General features: G+C 42.3%; 3 protein-coding genes across 20 annotated transcripts in view, besides 10 other annotated features; 1 reads left to right on the plus strand and 2 right to left on the minus strand.

Moving 5' to 3' along the window:
* APTX (aprataxin) overlaps positions 1-376 on the minus strand; it is a 52,505-nt gene extending 52,129 nt beyond the window's left edge. For 8 of the 16 annotated variants that reach the window (NR_160922.1, NR_160927.1, NR_160928.1 and 5 more), the window contains exon 1: positions 60-376. The gene's annotated coding sequence lies outside the window, so the exon portion shown is untranslated. The remainder of the gene's footprint in view (positions 1-59) is intronic. The other 8 variants (NR_160926.1, NR_160923.1, NR_160929.1 and 5 more) reach the window with 2 other exon arrangements.
* Positions 287-581: an enhancer, noted in NCBI's record as "tiled region #3987; K562 Activating DNase matched - State 1:Tss". NCBI's record gives its function as "activates a minimal TATA promoter and a strong SV40 promoter by Sharpr-MPRA in K562 cells {active_cell/tissue: K562}" and the evidence as "EXISTENCE:reporter gene assay evidence [ECO:0000049][PMID:27701403]".
* Positions 287-589: a biological region, named in NCBI's record as "Sharpr-MPRA regulatory region 3987".
* Positions 440-589: a silencer, noted in NCBI's record as "silent region_19829". NCBI's record gives its function as "represses an Ori minimal core promoter by ATAC-STARR-seq in GM12878 lymphoblastoid cells {active_cell/tissue: GM12878}" and the evidence as "EXISTENCE:reporter gene assay evidence [ECO:0000049][PMID:35858748]".
* DNAJA1 (DnaJ heat shock protein family (Hsp40) member A1) lies at positions 529-15,163 on the plus strand. Of its 2 annotated transcripts, NM_001539.4 has the most exons (9): positions 529-639; positions 1,731-1,872; positions 2,069-2,246; positions 5,141-5,245; positions 5,696-5,923; positions 9,472-9,586; positions 11,830-11,945; positions 12,271-12,371; positions 13,941-15,163. In NM_001539.4, the coding sequence occupies exons 2-9, from the start codon at positions 1,741-1,743 to the stop codon at positions 14,157-14,159; spliced, it is 1,194 nt and encodes a 397-aa protein (NP_001530.1). In that variant the 5' UTR covers positions 529-639; positions 1,731-1,740; the 3' UTR covers positions 14,160-15,163. The 2 variants fall into 2 exon arrangements, with proteins under 2 accessions (NP_001530.1, NP_001300968.1); NM_001314039.2 differs by lacking the exon at positions 2,069-2,246.
* Positions 559-1,153: an enhancer, noted in NCBI's record as "H3K27ac hESC enhancer chr9:33025301-33025895 (GRCh37/hg19 assembly coordinates)". NCBI's record gives its function as "activates a minimal SCP1, AML or CMV promoter by ChIP-STARR-seq in naive H9 embryonic stem cells {active_cell/tissue: H9 hESC(naive)}" and the evidence as "EXISTENCE:reporter gene assay evidence [ECO:0000049][PMID:30033119]".
* Positions 559-1,179: a biological region, named in NCBI's record as "H3K27ac hESC enhancer GRCh37_chr9:33025301-33025895".
* Positions 870-1,009: a silencer, noted in NCBI's record as "silent region_19830". NCBI's record gives its function as "represses an Ori minimal core promoter by ATAC-STARR-seq in GM12878 lymphoblastoid cells {active_cell/tissue: GM12878}" and the evidence as "EXISTENCE:reporter gene assay evidence [ECO:0000049][PMID:35858748]".
* Positions 1,110-1,179: an enhancer, noted in NCBI's record as "active region_28268". NCBI's record gives its function as "activates an Ori minimal core promoter by ATAC-STARR-seq in GM12878 lymphoblastoid cells {active_cell/tissue: GM12878}" and the evidence as "EXISTENCE:reporter gene assay evidence [ECO:0000049][PMID:35858748]".
* Positions 15,164-17,020: 1,857 nt separating the features above from the next.
* SMU1 (SMU1 DNA replication regulator and spliceosomal factor) overlaps positions 17,021-23,097 on the minus strand; it is a 34,910-nt gene continuing 28,833 nt past the window's right edge. For both annotated transcript variants that reach the window (XM_005251503.6, NM_018225.3), the window contains one exon: positions 17,021-22,647. In XM_005251503.6, coding sequence (XP_005251560.1) covers positions 22,549-22,647 — 99 coding nt within the window. In that variant the 3' untranslated portion in view covers positions 17,021-22,548. The remainder of the gene's footprint in view (positions 22,648-23,097) is intronic.
* Positions 19,239-19,740: an enhancer, noted in NCBI's record as "H3K27ac hESC enhancer chr9:33043981-33044482 (GRCh37/hg19 assembly coordinates)". NCBI's record gives its function as "activates a minimal SCP1, AML or CMV promoter by ChIP-STARR-seq in naive H9 embryonic stem cells {active_cell/tissue: H9 hESC(naive)}" and the evidence as "EXISTENCE:reporter gene assay evidence [ECO:0000049][PMID:30033119]".
* Positions 19,239-19,914: a biological region, named in NCBI's record as "H3K27ac hESC enhancer GRCh37_chr9:33043981-33044482".
* Positions 19,595-19,914: a silencer, noted in NCBI's record as "silent region_19831". NCBI's record gives its function as "represses an Ori minimal core promoter by ATAC-STARR-seq in GM12878 lymphoblastoid cells {active_cell/tissue: GM12878}" and the evidence as "EXISTENCE:reporter gene assay evidence [ECO:0000049][PMID:35858748]".

Consider the following 23,097-nt stretch of genomic DNA (forward strand, 5'->3'; position numbering starts at 1 on the left):
CACGCGTGAAAAACAGCAAGACCCAAGGCCTATGCTATTGGTCTGGGGACTAGACCCACCTGGCTCAAGCATTTTTTGCTCGCCACGTTCCCAAAAAGAGAAGAGGCGCCCGTAAGAGGGGGGGGGGGGGGGGCAAGACTGTTCCAAGAGCTTTCCCGTTCACACACAGCTCCCGCTGGGTCACTGTACTCGAGCCCTTCCCGCCCTCGCGGGCCCAGGCGGCCACCCCACAGGTTTGGGAACCCTAGGACTTGCAGTGCTCCTGGGCCATGCCCCACCAGCCGGAGACTTCCGCACTCTCAGGCTCGCTGAGTGGAGAAAAGGGCTCCAGAAGATTCCACGAGCGCCGGGAAGCCGCGCTAGCACCAACACCCACAAGGCCTTTCGGCGCAGCTCCTCCCGACCCGTGCGCCCCCGCGCCGTTGCCCAGGTAACGGCGGGGCGGTGGCAGCGGCCGAGAAGGGCGGGACTTCCGGCGGGTGACGCGCCCGGGTTCGGCTACAAAAGAGGACGGCTGCGGCGCGCCGGGCGGAACTTTCCAGAACGCTCGGTGAGAGGCGGAGGAGCGGTAACTACCCCGGCTGCGCACAGCTCGGCGCTCCTTCCCGCTCCCTCACACACCGGCCTCAGCCCGCACCGGTGAGTTTGAGCCCTCGCGCTGCCCCTAGTCCCCTGGCTGGCGCCATTGGCGCCGGGAAACCGATGGAGCCGCGGTCGGGAGGCAGTTGGCCGCGTGGGTAGGACCGCTGTCAGTTCCTGGGCCCACGATTTCCCTTTTGGAGGGCTGGTGTGGTGCCCTGGCAACCCATCCCCGGCACGCACAGTGAATGGGCCCGAGACCTTTCCTAGACCTCCCTCCTTCCCCAGCCTGGGATCTCCAAGGAGCTACTGTCTTCGGCTGCCCCTCCGTGCGCGCCCCCGCGGCCCCCCTCCCCGTCCGTGCTCGCTCGGGGTGGGGGGGGGGAGTGGGGTTGGCGACCCTGCGCACGCGCACAGGGAGGCAGGGGCGAGGGGCTGCGGGGGGAGCCGGGCGGAGACTGCGGCTTTTGGTTTCGCTTTCTCTGTTTCCCCTCCCTTTGTTTGTTGAGGGCTGGGCTTTCCCCACCGCCACTTGGGTCCAGGGTGGGAGGGAGAAAGGAAGGAAATCGGTCAGCGCCAAGTGCAAGGGGAAACCTGGCAGGTAAACTCTGCCAGCCTGAGGGGCGAGAGGGATTCGGCTGGAGAAGCTGTAAGCCGTGGGCGGTGGAGGGCTTGCTGTGTGGAGCCAGTAACCTGTTCTATAAACCACTCCCCCCCACCACTGTGTGCCCAGACGTCTTTTTCTGGAGAGTATATGGAGTTTATCAGATTTGCCAAAGACAGTGATAGTGTAATGACCGGTAGACTGAACATATCAGTGCTTCTTTTGGTTACAACTGTCACCGCCTCTAGGGCAAACGGGAAGAATCCAGATAATAGTTGTGTTATATTAGTATGGAAGCTTTGGTGTAGGAAAATTGGAACCAGCTGCTAGAAGGCGGCTCTCAGATTATTTCCCGATAATGATTATTTGTTTTGTCTGTTCGAGTTTATAGCTGAATTATCGCAGGAATTGTTACCTTTTTGGTGAAATTTAGGGAAGGTGGTGTTCTTATAATCGGATTTTGCAAAGAGATTGCTCGGCCTTAGCTCTCTTTTTTATTAAAAGCTACCAGTTGAAAGCCGGTTAAAGTTGCATTTTCTTATTTCAGGCAGTAGAAGATGGTGAAAGAAACAACTTACTACGATGTTTTGGGGGTCAAACCCAATGCTACTCAGGAAGAATTGAAAAAGGCTTATAGGAAACTGGCTTTGAAGTACCATCCTGATAAGAACCCAAATGAAGGAGAGAAGGTGAATAGTATCTACTCTTAAACGTATCTGAATAGTTCTTTGCCAGACGTATAGTATTTCTATTATGGCCTGAAATCGAGTATCTAATATAGTAACTATGATCACTTCTCGGCCTTTTTAGCTAAGATCAAGTGTAATGTAGCTAGGTAACACTTGTTTTTTAAAAAATGAAATTCACTCCTCTTTTCTCAAACAGTTTAAACAGATTTCTCAAGCTTACGAAGTTCTCTCTGATGCAAAGAAAAGGGAATTATATGACAAAGGAGGAGAACAGGCAATTAAAGAGGGTGGAGCAGGTGGCGGTTTTGGCTCCCCCATGGACATCTTTGATATGTTTTTTGGAGGAGGAGGAAGGATGCAGAGAGAAAGGAGAGGTAAGAAGAATCTAGTCTTTGTGCAGCTAACTAAAGTTAGCTGTTGGTCAGAGCAGATCTTTGAGAAATCACCCATTTTAAATGCTTGTTTACATGTTGGTATAATGTTGCAAACTGACCACAAATTGCCTCTGATTTATGGTGTCGTGTTTTTTTGTTGTGGTTTTTTTTTTTTTTTTCTTGAGACGGAGTTTCCCTCTTATTGCCCAGGCTGGAGAGCCATGGCGTGGTCTCAGCTCACAGCAACCTCCACCTCCCGGGTTCAAGCGATTCTCCTGCCTCAGCCTCCCAAGTAGCTGGGATTACAGGCATGTGCCACCAAACCCGGCTAATTTTGTATTTTTAGTAGAGATGGGGTTTCACCATGTTGGTCACGCTGGTCTTGAACTGCAAACCTCAGGTGGTGATCCACCTGCCTTGGCCTCCCAGAGTGCTGGGATTACAGGTGTGAGCCACCATGCCCAGCCAGTGGTGTCGCTTTTTTTAAAATGAGATTTAAGGGGCCTAAAAAATAGCCAACAGAGTGGTAGCAAATGACTGCTTCCAAAAATCTTAGATATTATCAAACAAATTATGAGAACAGGCCGCGTGCTGTGGCTCATTCTGTAATCCCAGCACTTTGGGAGGCCGAGGTGGGTGGATCACTGAGGTCAGGGTTCGAGACCAGCCTGGCCAAGATGGTGAAACCCCATCTCTACAAAACTACAGAATTAGCTGGGCGTGGTGGTGGGCATCTGCAATCCCAGCTCCTCTGGAGGCTGAGGCAGGAGAATCGCTTGAACCCTGGAGGCAGAGGTTGCAGCGAACGGAGGTCACGCCACTGCACTCCAGCCTGGGCAACAAGAGTGAATCTCTGTCACAAAAAACCCAAAAAAATCCAAAAATTAGCCAGGCATGGTGGTGCGTGCCTGTAATCCCAGTTACTCAGGAGGGCTGAAGCAGGAGAGTCGCTTGAACCCGGGAGGTGGAGGTTGCAGTGAGCTGAGATCGCCCAATTACACTCCAGCCTGAGCAACACAGCGAGACTCTTGTCTCAAAAAAAAAAAAAAAAAAAAAAAAAGACAAAGTATATAGCAATATAATTTTCCAAGCCCTTTTTACAGATCTTATTTGGTGTTCCCTCACTCCCCAAAGGAATTTGATGGTAGGTACAGTGGCCTTTTTCAAATGGGAGTAAGTTAAAGTTCAGAAACCTAAAACTTCTTCAAGCTCATATAGCAAGCCAACAGAGCCAGGGCTGAAAACTGGTTCGTTGCCTGCCATCTATCTATTCTTGTTTCAGCTTTATTGTGTCAAAATTATGTATTTAATATGTTTATCAGGAAAGTGGCCTATGGGCTCTAGAAATACTGCTTATAGGAGTAAAATGTTCAAGAGAAATCAGTCTCACTTTATTTCCAGTATAGTGTATACAAATAAGGGCTGATGAGCAGAACCAGTTTTAGAATGAATGGCCAAGCCATTAAATTTCACTTTGAGCTTCTTAAGGTTCAGAAAGATTTGGGAAATTGTTTATTCAGTTTTTCTTTAAAGATCTTCAAGGAAAGGATTATGTTTTTATTAAGATACTTAAACTCCTTAAAAAGAAAGTCCACAATCCAAATGACTTGCTTAGTAAATTGTTAGAATTTGTCCACAAAAAAGTAGTGGTGGTTTTTCACTTACCTTACAAAGAACCTGCAGGTTAACATTGGCAAGCTCTTTTATGTGGCTTATGATCATATTGAGAGGTTATTTCTGGGGAAATGCGCTTCATCAAGCTCTAGAAGCTTTATTTTTCCTTCCTTATACTCAACACTGTTCAAAATAAGGGCAGCTAGATTTTAGCGTGCCAAAACTAAAGGTGGAACTATAAGCAGAAGGACATAATTAATGGTATTTCATGCTTGATTAGAAAGTTAAAATGTTCATTAGGCATATTGTACAGAAACGAGTTTGAGAACTTTTTTCAGTTGGTGGAAAGGCAATAATATTGTTGTGAATAAGTCCTTGTGGAAGGACCACTAGTTAGGAACTTACTAACTTACTAGCAGGTGACTTCATACTTCTAACCTCAGTGTCCTTATGAGATCTTGACCTTCCATTTCCTATTCTGATTTAAGTGAAGTAAGGCACTCCTTAGTAGCCACTGGCCATGTGTGGCTCCATTAATTTAAGACAAAAACAAAAATACGGTTTCTTAGTCTAAATGGCCACATTTACATGCTCAATAAGCACATGTGATTGGTGGCTGCTACGTTGGACAGAACAGATATAAAACATTTATCACTGCAGAAAGTTCTGTTGGGCAATGCTATTATAAAAGGTATGAGAAATTTGGCCTTCAAAACAACCAGTGCTGGCCCAGCAGTAAATGGGCTGTTTTCTACTAAATCAGGAAGAAGTAGAAATTGATACTCTTCTGTGGTGACTCAATAAATACATCAGCTTCCCTGGCCAATCTTGATTAATGAGAATTTACTGTGCTACAGAATTTTTGGATGAAGTAATTGGCCATGTTGCTCAATACGGTACGAAGTGAAAGCTTCAAAAAATATATTGTGACAGAAATGAATGTTTGGATTATTGTGAAATGTGCCCTTTTAAATAACATTGGTTTTTCTCAAGTGACTTTGAAGGTAATGCTTTTGCTTACCATATTTCCAAGATGGCCACGTCTGTGCCCTTAAGCAAATATTTAATCTCTGACCTGATTTTCCCTCATCTGTGATTACATCACAGTTTGAGGATCATCTGTGATAACGTGAACATTCTGTGTATATAGTAGGTAGTCAACAGATGTACCCTGTGAGGCTCATCTTTTATTATTCTTTGCCACATTCTTTATAGTGCCTTTAGCACAAATAAGATCCAGCATCTTAAACAGATTTGCAATGAGAAATATTTTGTTTTAGGTAAAAATGTTGTACATCAGCTCTCAGTAACCCTAGAAGACTTATATAATGGTGCAACAAGAAAACTGGCTCTGCAAAAGAATGTGATTTGTGACAAATGTGAAGGTACGGTGTTTTTTTGTTTTGTTTTGTTTTGTTTTTAAGCACCTTTAATATGACACCTGAAAATGGAGCTAAGACTTCTAGATAGATATGTAAAATTGATTCATGTACACTACCTAGATTTTGGGGGAGGAGAGGGCAGATATGAAGAAAACCAACTGAAAACCTCCCACCTAAAGAAATATCAGCACTTTTTTCTGTGTATATTTTAAATACAGTTGGGATCAAGCTAGTTTGGTATCTTTTTTGTAATAAGTAAAATTTATTGGAAAGTGTGTTCTAATAAGAATGAAACTCATTGGAATGATCTCATCAGTTGTACATTCAGAGGGTAGCATTCCATCAGGCTTCGAAAATATTAAAAGTATAGCATTTAGGAATTGTCTTCTTAAAACATTTACTACTGTATACACTACTAATTCATACATTATTTAATTTTCTTTTTAAATTTAGGTAGAGGAGGTAAGAAAGGAGCAGTAGAGTGCTGTCCCAATTGCCGAGGTACTGGAATGCAAATAAGAATTCATCAGATAGGACCTGGAATGGTTCAGCAAATTCAGTCTGTGTGCATGGAGTGCCAGGGCCATGGGGAGCGGATCAGTCCTAAAGATAGATGTAAAAGCTGCAACGGAAGGAAGATAGTTCGAGAGAAGAAAATTTTAGAAGTTCATATTGACAAAGGTGAGTTCTGAGTTACTTATTCTGAAGTCTTGAATGCTGTGGCAGATTTATTATTAACATTTTATAATTGTTTAAAAATCATTCTTAATTAGGTTATATATGATCCTATCAATCAGAAATAACTCTTAGCAGCTTAGTAAATAATGTTCTTTTATCCAGACATAATTTTGCACATTGGTATATTACTAATACAGAATATATTAGGAATCTCCTCATTTAATATAACAGGATCATCTTTTGAAATCTGTGGTCCTGTAAATGATTGAATAGTGTTCCAAACTTAATTCTCTCCTGTTAAACCATAGTTCTTCCATCTTTTAAAACATTAGAATTGTACACATTCTTAATTAGGAGTTACTAGATCAAGGGATAGGCATACTTTTAAGGATTTGAAAGGGGAGTTAGGTGAAGAATTGGGTCTCATAAAAATTCATGGTTTTTTTGGAGACGGAGTTTCGCTCTTGTTTCCCAGGCTGGAGTGTGCAATGGCACGATCTCAGCTCATTGCAACCTCTGCCTCCCGGGTTCAAGCAGTTCTTCTGCCTCAGCCTCCCAAGTACCTGGGATTACAGGCACCCAGCACCATGCCCGGCTAATGTTTTGTATTTTTAGTAGAGACGGGGTTTCACCATGTTGGCCAGGCTGATCTCGAACACTTGACCTCAGGTGATGACCTGCCTCGGCCTCCCAAAGTGCTGGGATTACAGGCATGAGCTACCGCACCCCGCCTCATGTTTATTTTTTAAACCAATGGGCATGTTTTTGTTTGTTTGTTTTTTTCTGAGGTAGAGTCTTGCTCTGTTGCCCAGGCTTGAGTGCAGTGATGCGATCTTGGCTCACTCTAACCTCTGCCTCCTGGGTTCAAGCGATTCTCCTGCCCCAGCTTCCCAGGTAGCTGGGACTACAGGTGTGCACCACCACACCTGGCTAATTTTTTTTGTATTTTTAGTAGAGATGGGGTTTCACCATGTTAGGCTGGTCTCAAACTCTTGACCTCAAATGATCTGCCTGCCTTGGCCTCCTAAAATGCTGGGATTACAGGTGTGTGCCACCATACCTGGCCTGGGCTAGTTTAAATAAGCGTATTGGCCCACTTAATTGGCTTACTTGCCCATCTATTATATTTAAATGCTCCGTTAATTGATTTGATAGACTACCTTTCATTTTTTTAGACTTGACACTTCCCTAACCCATTGGGCTCCAGATTTAGAAATAACTATATAACCTTTTTTTTGTATTCTCGGGATTTGATTGATTTGTCAATTTTTAAATTTTACTCTTGTCAACTTGCAAAAACATTTTAAAATGTATTACAGCAATACACTGCAGAAATTTTAAGAAATGTATATAACCCCAGAAGGAAACTTAAGTCAACATTATGGTAATCTCTTTTCAGATTTTGCTGTTTATAAATGGGTCTACTATTATACTGTACTGTGGTATGATACCAATCTGGAACTGTTAATATTTGAACATATTTCCATATTAATATACAAATCTACATTAACATAAGTGGCTGCAATAGGATTCTATCATGTGACTCATGATACTGGCCTCTCTGACCCCCAGGGTTCCACCCAAGAATGTAGTACATTGAAAGGTAAAAATAAGTTTCCTTGGCCAGTTGTTGAACTTAATAAATCTGTGTTTACCCCTTAGTGGGCCCATGCCTAAGGTTTATACTTTGAGGTGTTCTTGATACCAATAGCATACAGAGTAAGTCTTAACGTTGTTGATAGGTTCTTGGAAACTGGGACTTCTAGCAGAATGACCTCAAATAATGTCATGCAGGTCCTCAAATAATGTCATGTCACTGTAACACAGCTGAGGGGAAAAAAATTGGTCTTGTTATGTGTCATTTCATTTAAAGCAATTTCCAAGAACCTATCAACAATGGACTGTAAGTGAGAACTTGAAATTAATGCCCTAACTATATAGCAAGTGAAGGCATTTGTGCTGTGCCTACTCTTACTCTGTATTCAGGAAAACCTAGCTGAGTTTAATTGCTTCCCTAGCATAACAAGTTATTTTGCCTCAATACACGATTAAAGACAGATTGTTTAATTTTGTCAGTGTATGATACTGATAGCGCTTTAAGTCCTTATTTAAGAGGTACGTACTGAAGTATTTGTGGGTTAATGGATATAGTTGGAGTTTGCTTGAAAGTATATGTGGGGGGCATGCGTAGGGGTGTAATACATGAAATATTAGTCATGAGTTAGTAACTGCTGAAGCCAAATTGGATGGATATGTAGGAATTCATTGTACTGTTGGCTCTGTTTATACAGGATTAATATTTTCCATACGTAAAGGTGAAACATGATTGCTCTGTTAGGTAACCAGAGTGATCTTGGGAAATAATCAGGAGATAACTGCTTTGGTGTAATACTCTACAAACACAGGTTTTCTTACATGAGTTATGTTCTAAGAGACGTTGCCCAAACCCTTACTGAACTAAAATATGTGGGTCAGAGGTGAGGGGCACGAAGTCTCAGTTTAAAAAAAAAAAAAAAGGCGTGTTTTTTTGCCCTGTTAGAAAATACTCCTCCCCTTGTATTTTACGGACCACATGGGCTAAGGGAGTGTCTAGCACTGATTGTTTTGTTTGCTTGTTTAATTTAAATGAGACAAGGTCTGGAACTCCTGTGCTCCAGGGTGCTATCCTCAGGGTATCCTCCTGACTCGGCCTCTCAAAGTATAATTACCCTTTTTTTAAGGGGACTATACTGAATAGTTCTTTAAAATACGGATTTTCAGGCACAGGGGCTCAGGTCTGTAATCCGAACACTATAGGATGCCGAGGCAGGATCCCTTGAGCCCAGTAGTTCAAGACCAGCCTGAGCGACATGAGAACCCCCATCTCTATTAAAAAAAAAAAAATTCAAAAATTAGCTGGTCTGTGGTCCTGGCTACTCGGGAGGCTGAGGTGGGAGGATCACTTGAGCCCAGGAGATGGAGGCTGCAGTGAGCCATGTTTGTGCCACTGCACTCCAGCCTAGGCAACAGAGCAAGATCCTATCTCAAGAGAAGATTATAGATTTAAAATTTTTTTAGTTTTATATATAAATACTACAATAGAAGGGTCTTGATTTACATTGCTGTTAGACTTTTAATAGAAGTAATTTGATGTGTTATAAGTAATGAAACTGAAATACTTAATTAACATTTTTTGGTTATAACCAGTGTTAGCCAGTCATGGTTTAGTACCAGCATATACCTGTTGAGTTAATACTCTAAATATTGCTAATGAGGTGTAGGTGTCTGTGGGAAAGTTGAAACTTGGAAAGGATATGCAGCTTACTTCCCCAGGGTAATCCAGCCAGTGAATAGCAGCTCTGAGATTTGAAGGCTAGTCTCTTTGCCTCTGGAGTTTGTGTTCTCCACTATGATACCTTTCTTCAGGAGCAAATTGGACTGAACTACTTAAGTGGGCTTTCTTAGTCATTTCTGTGATTTTTATGCATAAACAAACATCTATGTATAGATTTTATGATTCTGACCTTAGTTGGATATTTAATAAAAGTACAAAATTAATGTTTTGTTTTTAGGCATGAAAGATGGCCAGAAGATAACATTCCATGGTGAAGGAGACCAAGAACCAGGACTGGAGCCAGGCGATATTATCATTGTGTTAGATCAGAAGGACCATGCTGTTTTTACTCGGTAAAGACTTTTATCAACCACTCAAATTGATATCACATATTTGGGTTGTTGGTTTTGTTTTTTGTTTTTTTGTTTTTTTTAAAGTGTTTTCCATTACTCTTAGAACCTATTTCTCAGGAAGATTGTTAACCATTGTTCAGATCATAAGAGGTTGAATACATAGGATCAGATTTTTAGCTTTTTGTCTCTAAGTATGGAACGTTGAAAATGTGTTTCAATTAGATGTTTTGTGTGAACCTAAGCAGCAGATGGGTGGGGAAAACATCCCTGGACAAAAATTTGCCCTCAATCTTTGTAAAGCAATTTAAGTGCCTTAAAGCTCTCACCAGTTTTCAATCTCATTTATGATAAATTGAATTGCTTTTAATTATAAATATCCAAAAGCATCTCTGTAGGAAACTTAAATTGTAACTCAATACTAAGTATAAATTCAGGTCTACCATTTTGAGCTAAATAATGAGTATGATGAACACTGAAGCACAAGAAAGATGGATGATTAACAGCAAATGTTTGTGATCCATGGCTAACATAACACCCTCTGTGCATGCTATATTCCCAGCAACTTGGGAGGCTGAGGTGGGAGGATCACTTGAGGCCAGGAGTCCTAGCTACTGGGGAGGCTGAGGCAGAAGAGTGGCTTGAACTCAGGAGTTCAAGGTTATGATCATGCCACTGCATTCTAGCCTGGGTGACAGTAAGAACCCACCTTTTTTTTTTTTTTTTTTTAATGGAGTGGAGGTGAAATTGGGAACATCTTAAACTAGTTTAGGATTAATTAATATTTCAGCTTGGTTTGGTGGCTTACGCCTGTAATCCCAACACTTTAGGAGGCCGAGGTGGATGGTCAGGAGTTCAAGACCAGCCTAGCCAACATGGTGAAATGCCATCTCTGTTAAAAATTAAAAAATTAGCCAGGCATGGTGGCAGGCCCTGAGGCAGGAGAATCACTTGAACACAGGAGGCAGAGGTCGCGGTGAGTTGAGATGGCGCCATTGCACTCCAGCCTGGGCAAAAAGAGCAAAACTTGGTCTCAAAAAAAAAGACTAATATTTTACAAATGTCTGAAGATAATGGGAAATGTTGTCAAGCTCAGGCTTTTGATGCTGTCATTTGAGAAGGGTATTAAAGATGTTTTATTTATTTATTTATTTTTTTTGAGATGCAGTTTCGCTCAACAGGCCCAGGCTGGATTGCGATGGTGAGATCTTGGCTCACTGCAACCTCCAACTCCCAGGTTCAAGCAATTCTCTCACCTCAGCCTCCCGAGTAGCTGGGATTACAGGCGCCCACCACCACGCCCAGCTGATTTTTGTATTTTTAGTAGAGACGGGTTTCACCATGTTGGCCAGGCTGGTATCGAACTCCTGACCTTAGGCAATCCACCTGCCTCGGCCTCCCAAAGTGCTGGGATTACAGGCATGAGCCACCGCGCCCAGCCTAAAGATGTTTTATTAATGTGGGTTGGAAAAGGAAAGTCTAAGCATGAGAAGGAGGAAGTGGGCTGTTAACGTTAAATATGAAAGGCTGTGTTCACTCACAATATGCCAGGAAATATTATTTCAGGTTCATCAATGAGGAAATTGTTAGAGTCCCTTTAAATTGGACATATCCTCATTGTTTAATTTCATAGAGCCTAAATTATCTAGGACCCTGCCCAGGCTAGAGTGCAGTGGCACGATCTCAACTCACTGCAATCTCTGCCTCCAGATTCAAGTGATTCTCCTGCCTCAGCCTCCCGAGTAGCTGGAACTACAGGTGCGCGCCACCATGCCTGGCTGATTTTTTGTATTTTTAGTAGAGATGGGGTTTCACCATGTTGGCCAGGCTGGTCTTGAACTTCAGACCTTAGGTGATCCACCCTCCTCAGCCTCCCAAACTGCTGGAATTACAGATGCGAACCACAGTGCCTGGCCTAACCCTCACTCTTGTGAGTTGTTTTTTTTTTTTCCCCTCTGAGAAACCAGATTTAAAACTAGGTAATGAAACAGTTCACTGATGGTAAATGGTAAAGGCTGCCTAGAGTGTGTGGAATGACTTTGAATCCTTAACTAGGAAACGGGGCTGGCAGGTTGCACATGTTTGCTCTTCCCAGATCTCTGCTCTGCTTGATTTTTACAATGGGGGAAGAAAAGGGTGTCTTTGTAAAAGACCCTTTGCTTTTATTAAACAAAAAAACAGCCTGCTTTGGTACATCTACTGATTCGTGATTTGAAAAATATAAATATGTGTCATATTTTATGCAGACGAGGAGAAGACCTTTTCATGTGTATGGACATACAGCTCGTTGAAGCACTGTGTGGCTTCCAGAAGCCAATATCTACTCTTGACAACCGAACCATCGTCATCACCTCTCATCCAGGTATGGGAACTAGGCAAGCTTAAACTTCTCTTTTCTATTCTAGTATTTTCCTTGTCTCCTGTTAACAAAGTGTAGTATAGGCACTGAGGGAAACCCATTGTTTTTCTTTCTCGGTTACATATCCTTCTCTGGGCTTAGATGAAGTTATAAGGTCTTGGCTCTCTTGTCAGCCCTTGGAAAACCCATAAGTGAAAGGTAACAGGATTGCTTTGCCACGTAAGTTTTACTCCTGCCAATGAGCTAGGACAGTGCTCTGTTCTTTATATTCCCTGCCTCATAAAAATGTGACCATACTTAAGGAAGAACTTGGCTTCAATGTTTTTAGGTCAGATTGTCAAGCATGGAGATATCAAGTGTGTACTAAATGAAGGCATGCCAATTTATCGTAGACCATATGAAAAGGGTCGCCTAATCATCGAATTTAAGGTAAGCTGTAATGTACTTTAAGAATACTTGAGAACAATTGGCTTACTAAAATCTGATAAAAAAGTAAAATTTCAGCCAGGTGCAAGTAGCTCATGCCTGTAATCCCCGCATTTTGAGAGGCTGAGGCAGGAGGATCCCTTGAGCCCTGGAGTTTTGAGAACAGCCTGGGCAACATAGTGAAACCCTGTCTCTTTAAAAAAACAAAAAAAAAAAAAAATTAAAATTTCTGAATGCCTCAGAACCTGAAACTTACATTTTTCCACAGCAAGAAATATATGGATCTGGCCACGTGCCACTGGCACACACCTATAATCCCAGTGCTTTGGGAGGCCAAGACAGGTGGATTGCTTGAGCTCAGGAGTTAAAGGCCAGCCTGGGCAACATGGCAAAACCCCATCTCTACAAAAAGTACAAAAATTAGCCAGGCATGGTGGCACACACCTGTAGTCCCAGCTACTCGGGAGGCTGAGGTGGGAGGATTGCTTGAGCCTAGGTGGTCAAGGCTGCAGTGAATCAAGATCGTGTCACTGTACTTCAACCTGGGTGACAGAATGAGACCCTGTCTCAAAAAAAGAAAAAAGAAAATTTACCTAATAACTACTTCTGTCATGTTGAGCATTCTTTGTTAACAAGTTGAGGATGGGGTTTTTTGCATCATTAATTGGATATTTAAAGATAGGTTGTGGGAAGGGTGTGTGGGACAAGTGGGTATTTTACTAATGAAAGGTTGTAACTGGCATCTTAAAGTTGAGAGGTGCTTTATAATAATTGCAGATTTCTTGGCAAAATAGTGTAATGCTTGATTTGTTAATAGGTATAAAGCAATCCAGTCATTTTCCTGAGTCTTAAATTGGCCTGTCACCATAAAAATATTAATTAAAACTTTTTTTTTTTTTTTTCCTTTTTGAGACGGGAGTCTTGTTCTGTCACCCAAGGTGGAGTGCAGTGGTGCGATCCTGGATCACTGTAACCTCCACCTCCTGGGTTCAAGCAGTTCTCCTGCCTCAGCCTCCTGAGTAGCTGGGAATACAGGTGCCCGCCACCACGCTGGGCTTTTTAGTAGAGATGGGGTTTCACCATATTGGCCAGGCTGGTCTCAAACTCTTGACCTCAGGTGATCTGCCCATCTCAGCTTCCCAAAGTGTTGGGATTTGTAATCCCAATTGTATGAGCCACCGCGCCTGGCCTAAAAACATCTTTGGTAAGGAAGAACTACCCTTTTGAGAGTAAGAATAGCTTTGTTTAAATATGTCGTAAGAAGGGTTAGGCTGTTGCAGGATGGGTTTTGGTATTAAAAAGTCAGTTTGCTGGATAGAACAATGGTTGTTAAAGTGCAGTTTTATTTAATACAATCATTTTTAATAAAGCCTGACTTCTGGTCATAATCCTTGAACTCTAGTTCAGAGTGTGCTATGCACTGTGCCTTTTTAGAGCCTGTTCTAACCTGAGATTGGCAGATTCACCTAAATATTACGTGTTTACATGTGTTTTTCTGGGGAAAATGGGTCCATGATACTCTAAGGGAGCTAATGATGAAATCAGATTGAACAGTGAAAGTTTCTTTTGAAGGTAAACTTTCCTGAGAATGGCTTTCTCTCTCCTGATAAACTGTCTTTGCTGGAAAAACTCCTACCCGAGAGGAAGGAAGTGGAAGAGACTGATGAGATGGACCAAGTAGAACTGGTGGACTTTGATCCAAATCAGGAAAGACGGCGCCACTACAATGGAGAAGCATATGAGGATGATGAACATCATCCCAGAGGTGGTGTTCAGTGTCAGACCTCTTAATGGGCCAGTGAATAACACTCACTGCTGGCATTTAATGTGCAGTAGTGAATGAGTGAAGGACTGTAATCATAATATGCTCACTACTTGCTCTTGTTTTTGTTTTAATAAACTATAGTAGTGTTTTAAAAAGTTAAATGAAGAATAAACGCAAATATAAAAGCTCTGATTTTGCCCTGTATGTATGATGACTTCAGTGTGCAAGATGAAGTTTAATACCTGTAAAAACTACAAAGAAGTTCCCCTAGCATTTCTAGGCCAAACCTTGTAATTGACTTCAGCTATGTACGTGGACAAGCTTAGACTGAAATGCTAGGTATATGTATTGGCTTCAGTGTATGACCCTTCATTGTTAAGCTATGAAAGTAAAACTCTGTATTTAACTGGCAATGAGGAAAAAAAAATTTTGTAGAGAAGTGTTGGTCTGTATAGTTCTTTATATTAAGTGGGATTCATTGTAATGCCTCTGCATTTATTCTGTTGCCTCAGCTGTTACTTGAAGATGGCGTAATATATAATTTATCCTGTGGTATCAGTGATAAAAATGATACCTTTCTGTAGGAGGGGTTTATCATAATATGCTGCTTCTTGAAGGCTTGCACTTCCAGAATTGTGTTTCCTTCTGCTGTGCCATTCATATATATATACATATATATATATAATCTTGACCAGTCCTGGTCATTTGCTCCCCTCCTTGTCTGTGGACCATGATAAGCCCAAGTAGTGACTTCAGAGCTGGGTAACAGAAATTAAAGTGAAAAGACCTTTACGTGGAGAATTTGCATGCGTAATATAGGAAGGTGTTCTTTAGGTATGTTACAGGATTACTTTAAACCATTTGACTTTCGCTCCAAAGTTATGTTGGTAGTATAGCAAATTATGATGAATAGCTTTAATTGTATGTTTAAAAGTCTCATATGTTCACATGCTTAAATCTGGGTATCAGAATTTAAGCAATTCTTGAAATGTATTGTCTCCTTAATATACTAATTACAAAGCATCTCCAATGTGTGTCACTACAGGCTTTTTTTTCCCAGATCATCAAATTTTGGCTTTTAACTAAGATACATAGCTTTATTTTAGCTAGTCTGAATGAGTGATACAAAAATACTATTGAACTATAGTTAAATAATATTAAATAGGATGGAGAGTAAAAGTGGAGGACTGGGTAATGAGCCAAGAAGAAGGGGACTTAGAAAACTGCAAACATTGGAGTGAGCATGAGAGAACAAGTTCTCATAAAGAATACAAGTTTAAAAAGGAGAAAAACTTTAAAAAATAAGGTTCCCAAACCATCAGTGTTTGTCAACTTCCTTTTAGTCTGTGCCAGCCACCCACAGCTACCCTAAAGTTGGAGATGTGAAGCAGATGTTCAGGAAAGTATAATTGATCGGTGTTCAAAAAAGTGCTTTGTGACAGATTTCACTTTTCACTGGGTTTATGTACAAATTCTAAAAATCTCTGAACCTGTATTTTAATGCATTTAAGAGCATTGTTTAGGCCAGGCATGGTGGCAGTGGCTCACACCTGTGATCCCAGCACTTTGGGAGGACAAGGCAGGCAGATCACCTGAGGTCAGGAGTTTGAGACCAGCCTGGCCAACTTGGTGAAAACGTGGTGTACTTTACTAAAAGTACAAAAATTAGCCAGGTGTGGTAGCACTCACCTGTAGTCCCAGCTACTCGGGAGGCTGAGGCAGAATTGCTCAAACCCAGTCCGGAGGTTGCAGTGAACCAAGATTGCACCATTGCGCTCCAGCCTGGGTGACAGCAAGACTCCGTCTCAAAAAAAAAAAAAAAAAAAAAAAAGCATTGTTTATAGGACGCTTAAAAATTTTTACAAATCTCACACAAGGTTTTCAGCGTTTGTCAGTCATAAGGGAAATGCACATAAAAACCAGATACCACTTCATACCTAATAGGATAGCTCTAATCCAAAAAATGGAAAATAAGAATATGGAGAAATTGGAACCCTCTGTACTTTGTTGGTGGTAATGTAAAATGTTGCAGTTGCTGTAGAAAAGTCTGGCAGCTGCTTAAAAAGCTAAACATGGAATTACCACATGACCCAGAGCTGGCCCTCCTTTTTGGGTTTCACATCCATGGATTTAGTCAACTTTGGATCAAAAACAATTGGGAAAAATTGTTTCCTGACCATGTACAGACTTCAGCTGTTAAAAGTATAACAGCTGTTTACATAGTACTTACATTGTATTAGGTATTACCAGTAACCTAGAGCTAGATGGCTAAATTACGCAGGATGTGTAGGTTATATGCAAATAACCATCTTGTTTTATATCAGGGACTTGAGTACCCTCGGATTCTGGTATCCATGGAAAGTCCTGGAACCAGTACCCCCATGGATACTGAGGGATGACTATACAAAAGGAATTAAAAACGAATGAAGGCCGGGCGCGGTGGCTCATACCTCTAATCTCAGCACTTTGGGCAGCCTAGGCGGGCTGATCACCTAAGGTCAGGAGTTGAAGACCAGCCTGGCCAACGTGGTGAAACCCCGTCTCCACTAAAAAGACAAAAATTAGCCGGGTGTGGTGGTGGGCGCCTATAATCCCAGCTACTTGGGAGGCTGAGGCAGGAGAAACGCTTGAACCCAGGAGGTGGAGGTTGCAGCGAACCAAGATTGTATCATTGTACTCCAGCCTGGGCGACAAGAGGGAGACTGTCTCAAAAAAAAAAAAAAAAAAAAAAAACTCGTATGGTCAGTGTTTACTGTGCATTCTCAACAGCCCAAAGTGGAAACCTGACTGTCCACCAACAAATGGTTAATGTGTACCTACAAATCTCTCAATTCTCAATATACATGTGTACATACACTGTGAAATACACAGCCATTAAAAGGAATACTTTTTATACTTCCCCCAAATATGAAGCACTTTACTGTTTGATACATGGATGAACCTTTAAAACATGCTAAATGAAATAAGCCAGATAAAAAAGGACAAGTATTGTATAATTTCACTTATATGAACTAAACTTAGACAAATGCATTGAGGCAGAAACAGTACCAAAGGCTGAGGGGAAGGGAAGGAGAAGTTAATTGACAATGTTACAGGGCTTCTGTTTAGGGTGATGACATTTTGGAAATACAATAGTGGTTGCGTAACATCGTAAATAATGCCACTGAATTGCACAATTGTTTAGGAAAATTTGTTACATGTTTTACAATTAAAAATCCTAAGAACACTAAAAGAAAGTCATATTAGGTCGGTTGGTGCAAAAGTAATGTGCCATTACTTTTAATGGCAAAAACCGCAATTACTTTTGCACTAACCTAATAGTTATATCCTGAAGAGGCAGAAACTGATAGGTTTGTCTGTGTAGTTTTTCAGCTTGTATTATTACTACCACTAACAGCCTCTGTTGAACCCTTCATTACTATGTAAGCAGCCATATTTAATTCTCAGAACAATGTAATGAGGGAGAGCCTATGAAAAAACAAAGCCTATGAAACAGAGCCTATGAAAAAACATTAACCAAGGTCATCATCCACAAAAATACAAGTTCCAGCACTAACTCTGCTTTCTCTGTGATGCTTCTCCTGCCCATTCATACTTGTAGGGAATAGGAGTAGAGGCCAATTATGTCGCTTGAGAGTGCTCTTGGAACAGTGGCAAATTTTCTGTACGTGAAATTAGCTTCTCAACTTTTTTGTACGTACGGTACTGGTTCTTAACCTTGGCTACCATTGGAATTACCCGGGAAACATTAAAACACTCATCAGGTCCCACCCTCCAGGGATTCTGTATAACTCGGCTGGGTGTAGCCTAAGCATCAAAATGATTATGCGCAGCCAAGGTTGAAAGCCACCAACACTGACACATGGATTTAATATTAACCACTTGGAACAGAATACCACTGTTAAAATTGCCGTGGAAGGTTAAATAATGGGCAGCCCTTGCTATTCCAAGTTTGGTTTTTTTGTTTTTTGTTTTTGAGACCAAGTCTTGCTCTGTCACCCAGGCTGGAGTGCAGTGGCACAGTCTCAGCTCACTGCAACCTCTGCCTCCCGGGTTCCAGCTATTCTCCTGCCTCAGCCTCCTAGGTAGCTGGGACTACAGGCGTGTGCCACCATGCCCGGCTAATTTTGTATCCTTAGTAGAGACAGGGTGTCACCATGTTGGCCAGGGTGGTCTTGAACTCCTGACCTCGTGATCCACCCACCTCGGCCTCCCAAAGTGCTGGGATTACAGGCTTGAGCCACCGTGCCCGGCCTATTGTAAGTTTTAAACAACCTCAGACCAGGGAACTTCCTCACTTGGACATACACTTCATAGCAATTTCTTCTCTTAAAATAGTGGAAAATGAAGCTGTAAAAGCACAGTGAATGAGAACACTAGCAAGCTATGGCAATTTGAAAAAATGTGATTTTAAGAGTCAGTCTTGCACCTTTATCATTTAAATTTGGTTATCTCAGCATGAAACTTCTGAGACTGACAGCAAGAATTAAAACACCTTTTGTATATGCGGAAACTACCCTGTAGTCTACCTGCTCTCAAATTTGAGCACGCTTGCTGGGCCCCACCACCAATTTCTGATTCTGTAGGTCTGGGATAGGACCTTAGAATGTGTCTATCACGTGACACTTGTAAGAACCACTGTTCTAGCACAAGCCAAAAGAAGTGACAGCAAAGACTGACATCCAGAATCCTCTAATTCAGTTCTCTCTACTCATCTCACTACCTGTGCTCTGCTTAGGTGAATGTGTTTGCAGCATGTGGAGGAACAATCCATGTATTCTTTGTCCCTGCCCAAACCTAAAGATTGAGGAGGAACTGACAGCAATATTGAGAGTGAGGCAAGAGAGAAAAAAAACCTAGCTTCGGAGTCACATCTGGTTTTCAATGCGAGCTTCGTGCAAGTTGGACTGAGTTAGGTGCCTCACGTCTGGAAACCTGTTTCTTCATGTGCATTTGCGCACCCTCATTACATTGTTCTGAGAATTAAATATGGCTGCTTACATAGCAAGGAAGGGCTCAACAGAGGCCGTTAGTGGTAGTAATAATACATGCTGAAAAAAAACAACTGGTGAAGAAGATACTGAATTGTACCTGAGATTTATACCATTTGCTGTTAAAAAAAAAAAAAAAAAAAAAGCCATACTACTCCCAAATACCTCCGCGCAATGTTTTCCAGTCATTAATTCAACAGCAGAATAGGGGATAGGACAAATGTCCTTATGCTCATGGAATTAATTTTAACGCCAGGTAGTTTAGCTTCTATGTTAAGTGCTAGAGAGCAGCATCCGTTAAATCTGGTGGCTGCAGCAGAGCACTTCCCTAGGAACCGACTGCACACGCCCAATTCAGAAGGAAGTGAGCACTGATTCCCGGCAGCCAACTCCCGTTCGCGCAGCCGCTGCCACCGGCCCTTAAGACGATGTGACCGCCAATTTTGTAACAGTGACGTCACCCGACGTCTGCAGGCCCTGACAGTTGGCTCTAGCGGGTGCGCAGTCTCCCTACCCCCGGTAAGGGGCTCTACCGGCCCTGGACCCAAGATGGGACTCCTACCTCCGACCACCCGGAGCAGCGGCGCCCCAGATCCGGCCGTCCGCCCTGCGCGTGCGCGGCCCGACCCCGCCGCGGTCTGGCTGTAAGGGCGCTGGAGGGGAGCTGGGCTGCCCCAGCCTTCAATGCTGGAGGGACGGCCGCGTGGGGCTTCAGAAAGGCTAGGCGCCGAGGAGTGTAAGCAGCGTGTGCCCATTTAAAGACAAAATCAGTGTGTTTTTCAGGTTTGTACGAAATGAAGTTGTAGAAAGATTAACAAGGGTTACCTGGGAAAGGCAGATTTTCAACTTAGCGTTTACATGTTCACCCAGTGCATTATTTTATTTAAAAAGAAGAAAAATATATACTTAACGGCTCCTAATCCAGCTCTCTTTGCCTGGTCTCCCAAGACACCTATCATTTTGCCCAGCACATACCTTGCCGCTGTGCCACACTGGAGTCCCCGGTTAGGTTCCCTGTGCTTAGACCGCCCCCTAGTCCCTCCAGGAAGCCTTTCCCAACCCTTTCGCGTTAACTGCCCGCCTCATCATCACAAAGGTAACTTGAGCTTTTATCAGTTTTAATTACTCCTTTTAATTTGCTCTTCTTCCCTATGTTTAGGCAGAAACGAGTCTTTTTTTAACCATATTCATCACCTGGTGCCAGCAACAGAAGTGTTCCCTAAAAATTCCTAGAATAAACCAACACGTGCTGACTAGATTCTCCATCTTCATAAACGGTGATACAAACTATGCACATCATAACTACCAGCTTCATGAGGTCAAGACTAAATCAAAAATTCTCAAGGACTTTTCTAAAAATTTTTTTAGCATAAACTGTTTCCTCTAACTTAAACTTCTCTTAAGTGAACGTGTCTTTCCACTGGGATGACTGTCTACATGCTCAGGAATCCTGAATTCATGACTATGTTCAACTCCCACGACCATTTTTAAATCATCAAAATGGCAGCAAATGTCATTACCTGGACCAAAAAGCTGCAGGTTTTGTGGCAAATGGGAAATGTGTTATAGAATATGACTGGGAAAGAGGGATTTCTTAGTGCTGCCCAGAATTAATTCAGCAAACACTGAACATTACTACGTGCCACATATAGGATCATACTGCATTTCAGGTCACCATCAAAGGTAAATTACAAGGCTGGGCGCAGTGGCTCATGCCTGTAATCCCAGCACTTTGGGAGGCCAGGGCAGGCGGATCACCTGAGGTCAGGAGTTCAAGACCAGCCTGGCCAACATGGCAAAACCCCCGCTCTACTAAAAATACAAAAATTAGCCAGGCATGCTGGCATGCGCCTGTAGTCCCAGCTACTTGGGAGGCTAAGGCAGGAGAATCGCTTGAACCTGGGAAGTGGAAGTTGCAGTTAGCTGAGATGGCACCACTGCACTCCAGCCTGGGCAACAGAGCAAGACTCCATCTCAGAAAAATAAAATAAATTTTTTAAAAAGGTAAATTACAAGACTGCAAAACTTTTTAAAAAAACCTTCCCCACTAGTTTGTACCTAATAAATGCTAACATTTAAAAGGGGGCACAAAAGGCCTGCAGAAATAAGAACTCACGTTCTTGAAAGTACTGCCTAGCATGGTATCTTCCTCATCATCAGAGGTGCTCTATACATCTTCAGTTGAAACGTGAAACAGACATCCATATGCAAAATATTTTCAAGGGTTTTGTTGGCTTTTACATGTTTTTCTTTAGATAACTGGTAATGATGCACATTACAAAGGAGACTTTTCTAAATCTCAAGTCCTTTGCTAATTTTTCTTTGGAACAACAGCACATTTTCAATGCCAAACCTTCTCCTACAACATACAAAGGGGAGATGCCAAAACTCTGAATTCTTGTAACGGATCCTGCAACTAGTTCTATCCAGAAGATGGAGACAATATTCCCTGGAGTTGACTGAACATGTGAGAAGGCACAGCTCAGAAGGAGAGGAAGGCTGAGGGCAGTGAAATGAGAACCTATGCATCACCTGGCCTTTTTACATGTTAGTCTATCCTACTATCCCAGGAATTCACTTCTGCTGTACTTGAGATTCAGGGATAATAATGTGACTCCTCCTCCCACATTCTAAGTAAATATGTTAACTAGATGAGCATTTATGTACATTTTAGAACAAAGTCTCCAGAAAGGTATAAAGTTTATTAACATCTTTAAAAAAAAAAAAAAAAAAAAAGATGGGCCGGGCATGGTGGCTCACGCCTGTGATCCCAGCACTTTGGGAGGCCAAGGCGGGTGGATCCTTTGAGGTCAGGAGTTTGAGACCAGCCTGGCCAACATGGTGAAACCCCATCTCTACTAAAAATACAAAAAAATTAGCCAGGCATGGTGTCGCACACCTGTAGTCCCCAGCTACTCGGGAGGCTGAGGCAAGAGAATCGCTTGAACCTGGGAGGCGGAGGTTGCAGTGAACCAAGATCGTGCCGCTGCACTCCAGCCTGGGCAACAAGCAAAACTCCATCTCAAAAAAAAAAAAAAAGATGGAACAGAACACAGCTACTGAATATGATATAGTTCCTTATTTACAAGTTTTACTATGGGAGGGACATTTTCCTCAGCATTTCAAATAATCAGAGGAGTAGAATTTTTTTCTAGAAATATCAGTATTTCACTCTCCAGGTCGAAGATTAATGAAAACATTAAGTGACTGCACCAGTTAGAAGAAGATAAACTAATACCTTAAAAATATATAAAAAAAGAAAGGGTAGTTGCTACTTAAACATGAATTTTCACAAAATTATTCTGTGACTAATTCAGACAATCTATTTGCTTAGAAAAGCTGGCAAAAAAAAAAAAAAGCACATTACATGAATATGCTTCATTTAAGTACATGCTTTCGAGCTGATTTAAAAAGAAAAGTTGAATTATGGTTTCCAGAGCTTTAGGAGTCCATCTTCACTGTAGGTAGCAATCAGGTTCTGATGAGGGTGATGTGCAATACCAATCACATCCTTCTCGTGCACCTGGAACATGTAAAGCACAGGGTTAGGATGTACAGATCTGCAATAAATCACTCTGATGAGGCTTCCAGAGGTGGGTGGAAGGGAAAAAGAGATCTTGGGAGGCCACATATTCCAAATGGCATAGGAGAAAGATGGAGGAGGGTTTTCCAACTCACATCACATTGTGACATAATAATAAACTTTAGGCTGGGCGCAGTGGCTCATGTCTGCAATCCCAGTACTTTGGGAGGCAGAGGCGGGTGGATCACTTGAGGTCAGGAGTTCAAGACCAGCCTGGCCAACAGGGTGAAACCCCGTCTCCACTAAAGATACAAAAAATTAGCCAGGAGTGGTGGCATGTGCCTGTAGTCCCAGTTACTTGGGAGGCTGAGGCAGGAGAATCACTTGAAACCAGGAGGCAGAGGTTGTAGTGAGCCGAGATCACACCACTGCACTCCAGCCTGGGTGACA

The sequence above is a fragment of the Homo sapiens genome, chromosome 9 (assembly GCF_000001405.40).
Source record: "Homo sapiens chromosome 9, GRCh38.p14 Primary Assembly".
NCBI classification, from domain to species: domain Eukaryota; kingdom Metazoa; phylum Chordata; class Mammalia; order Primates; family Hominidae; genus Homo; species Homo sapiens.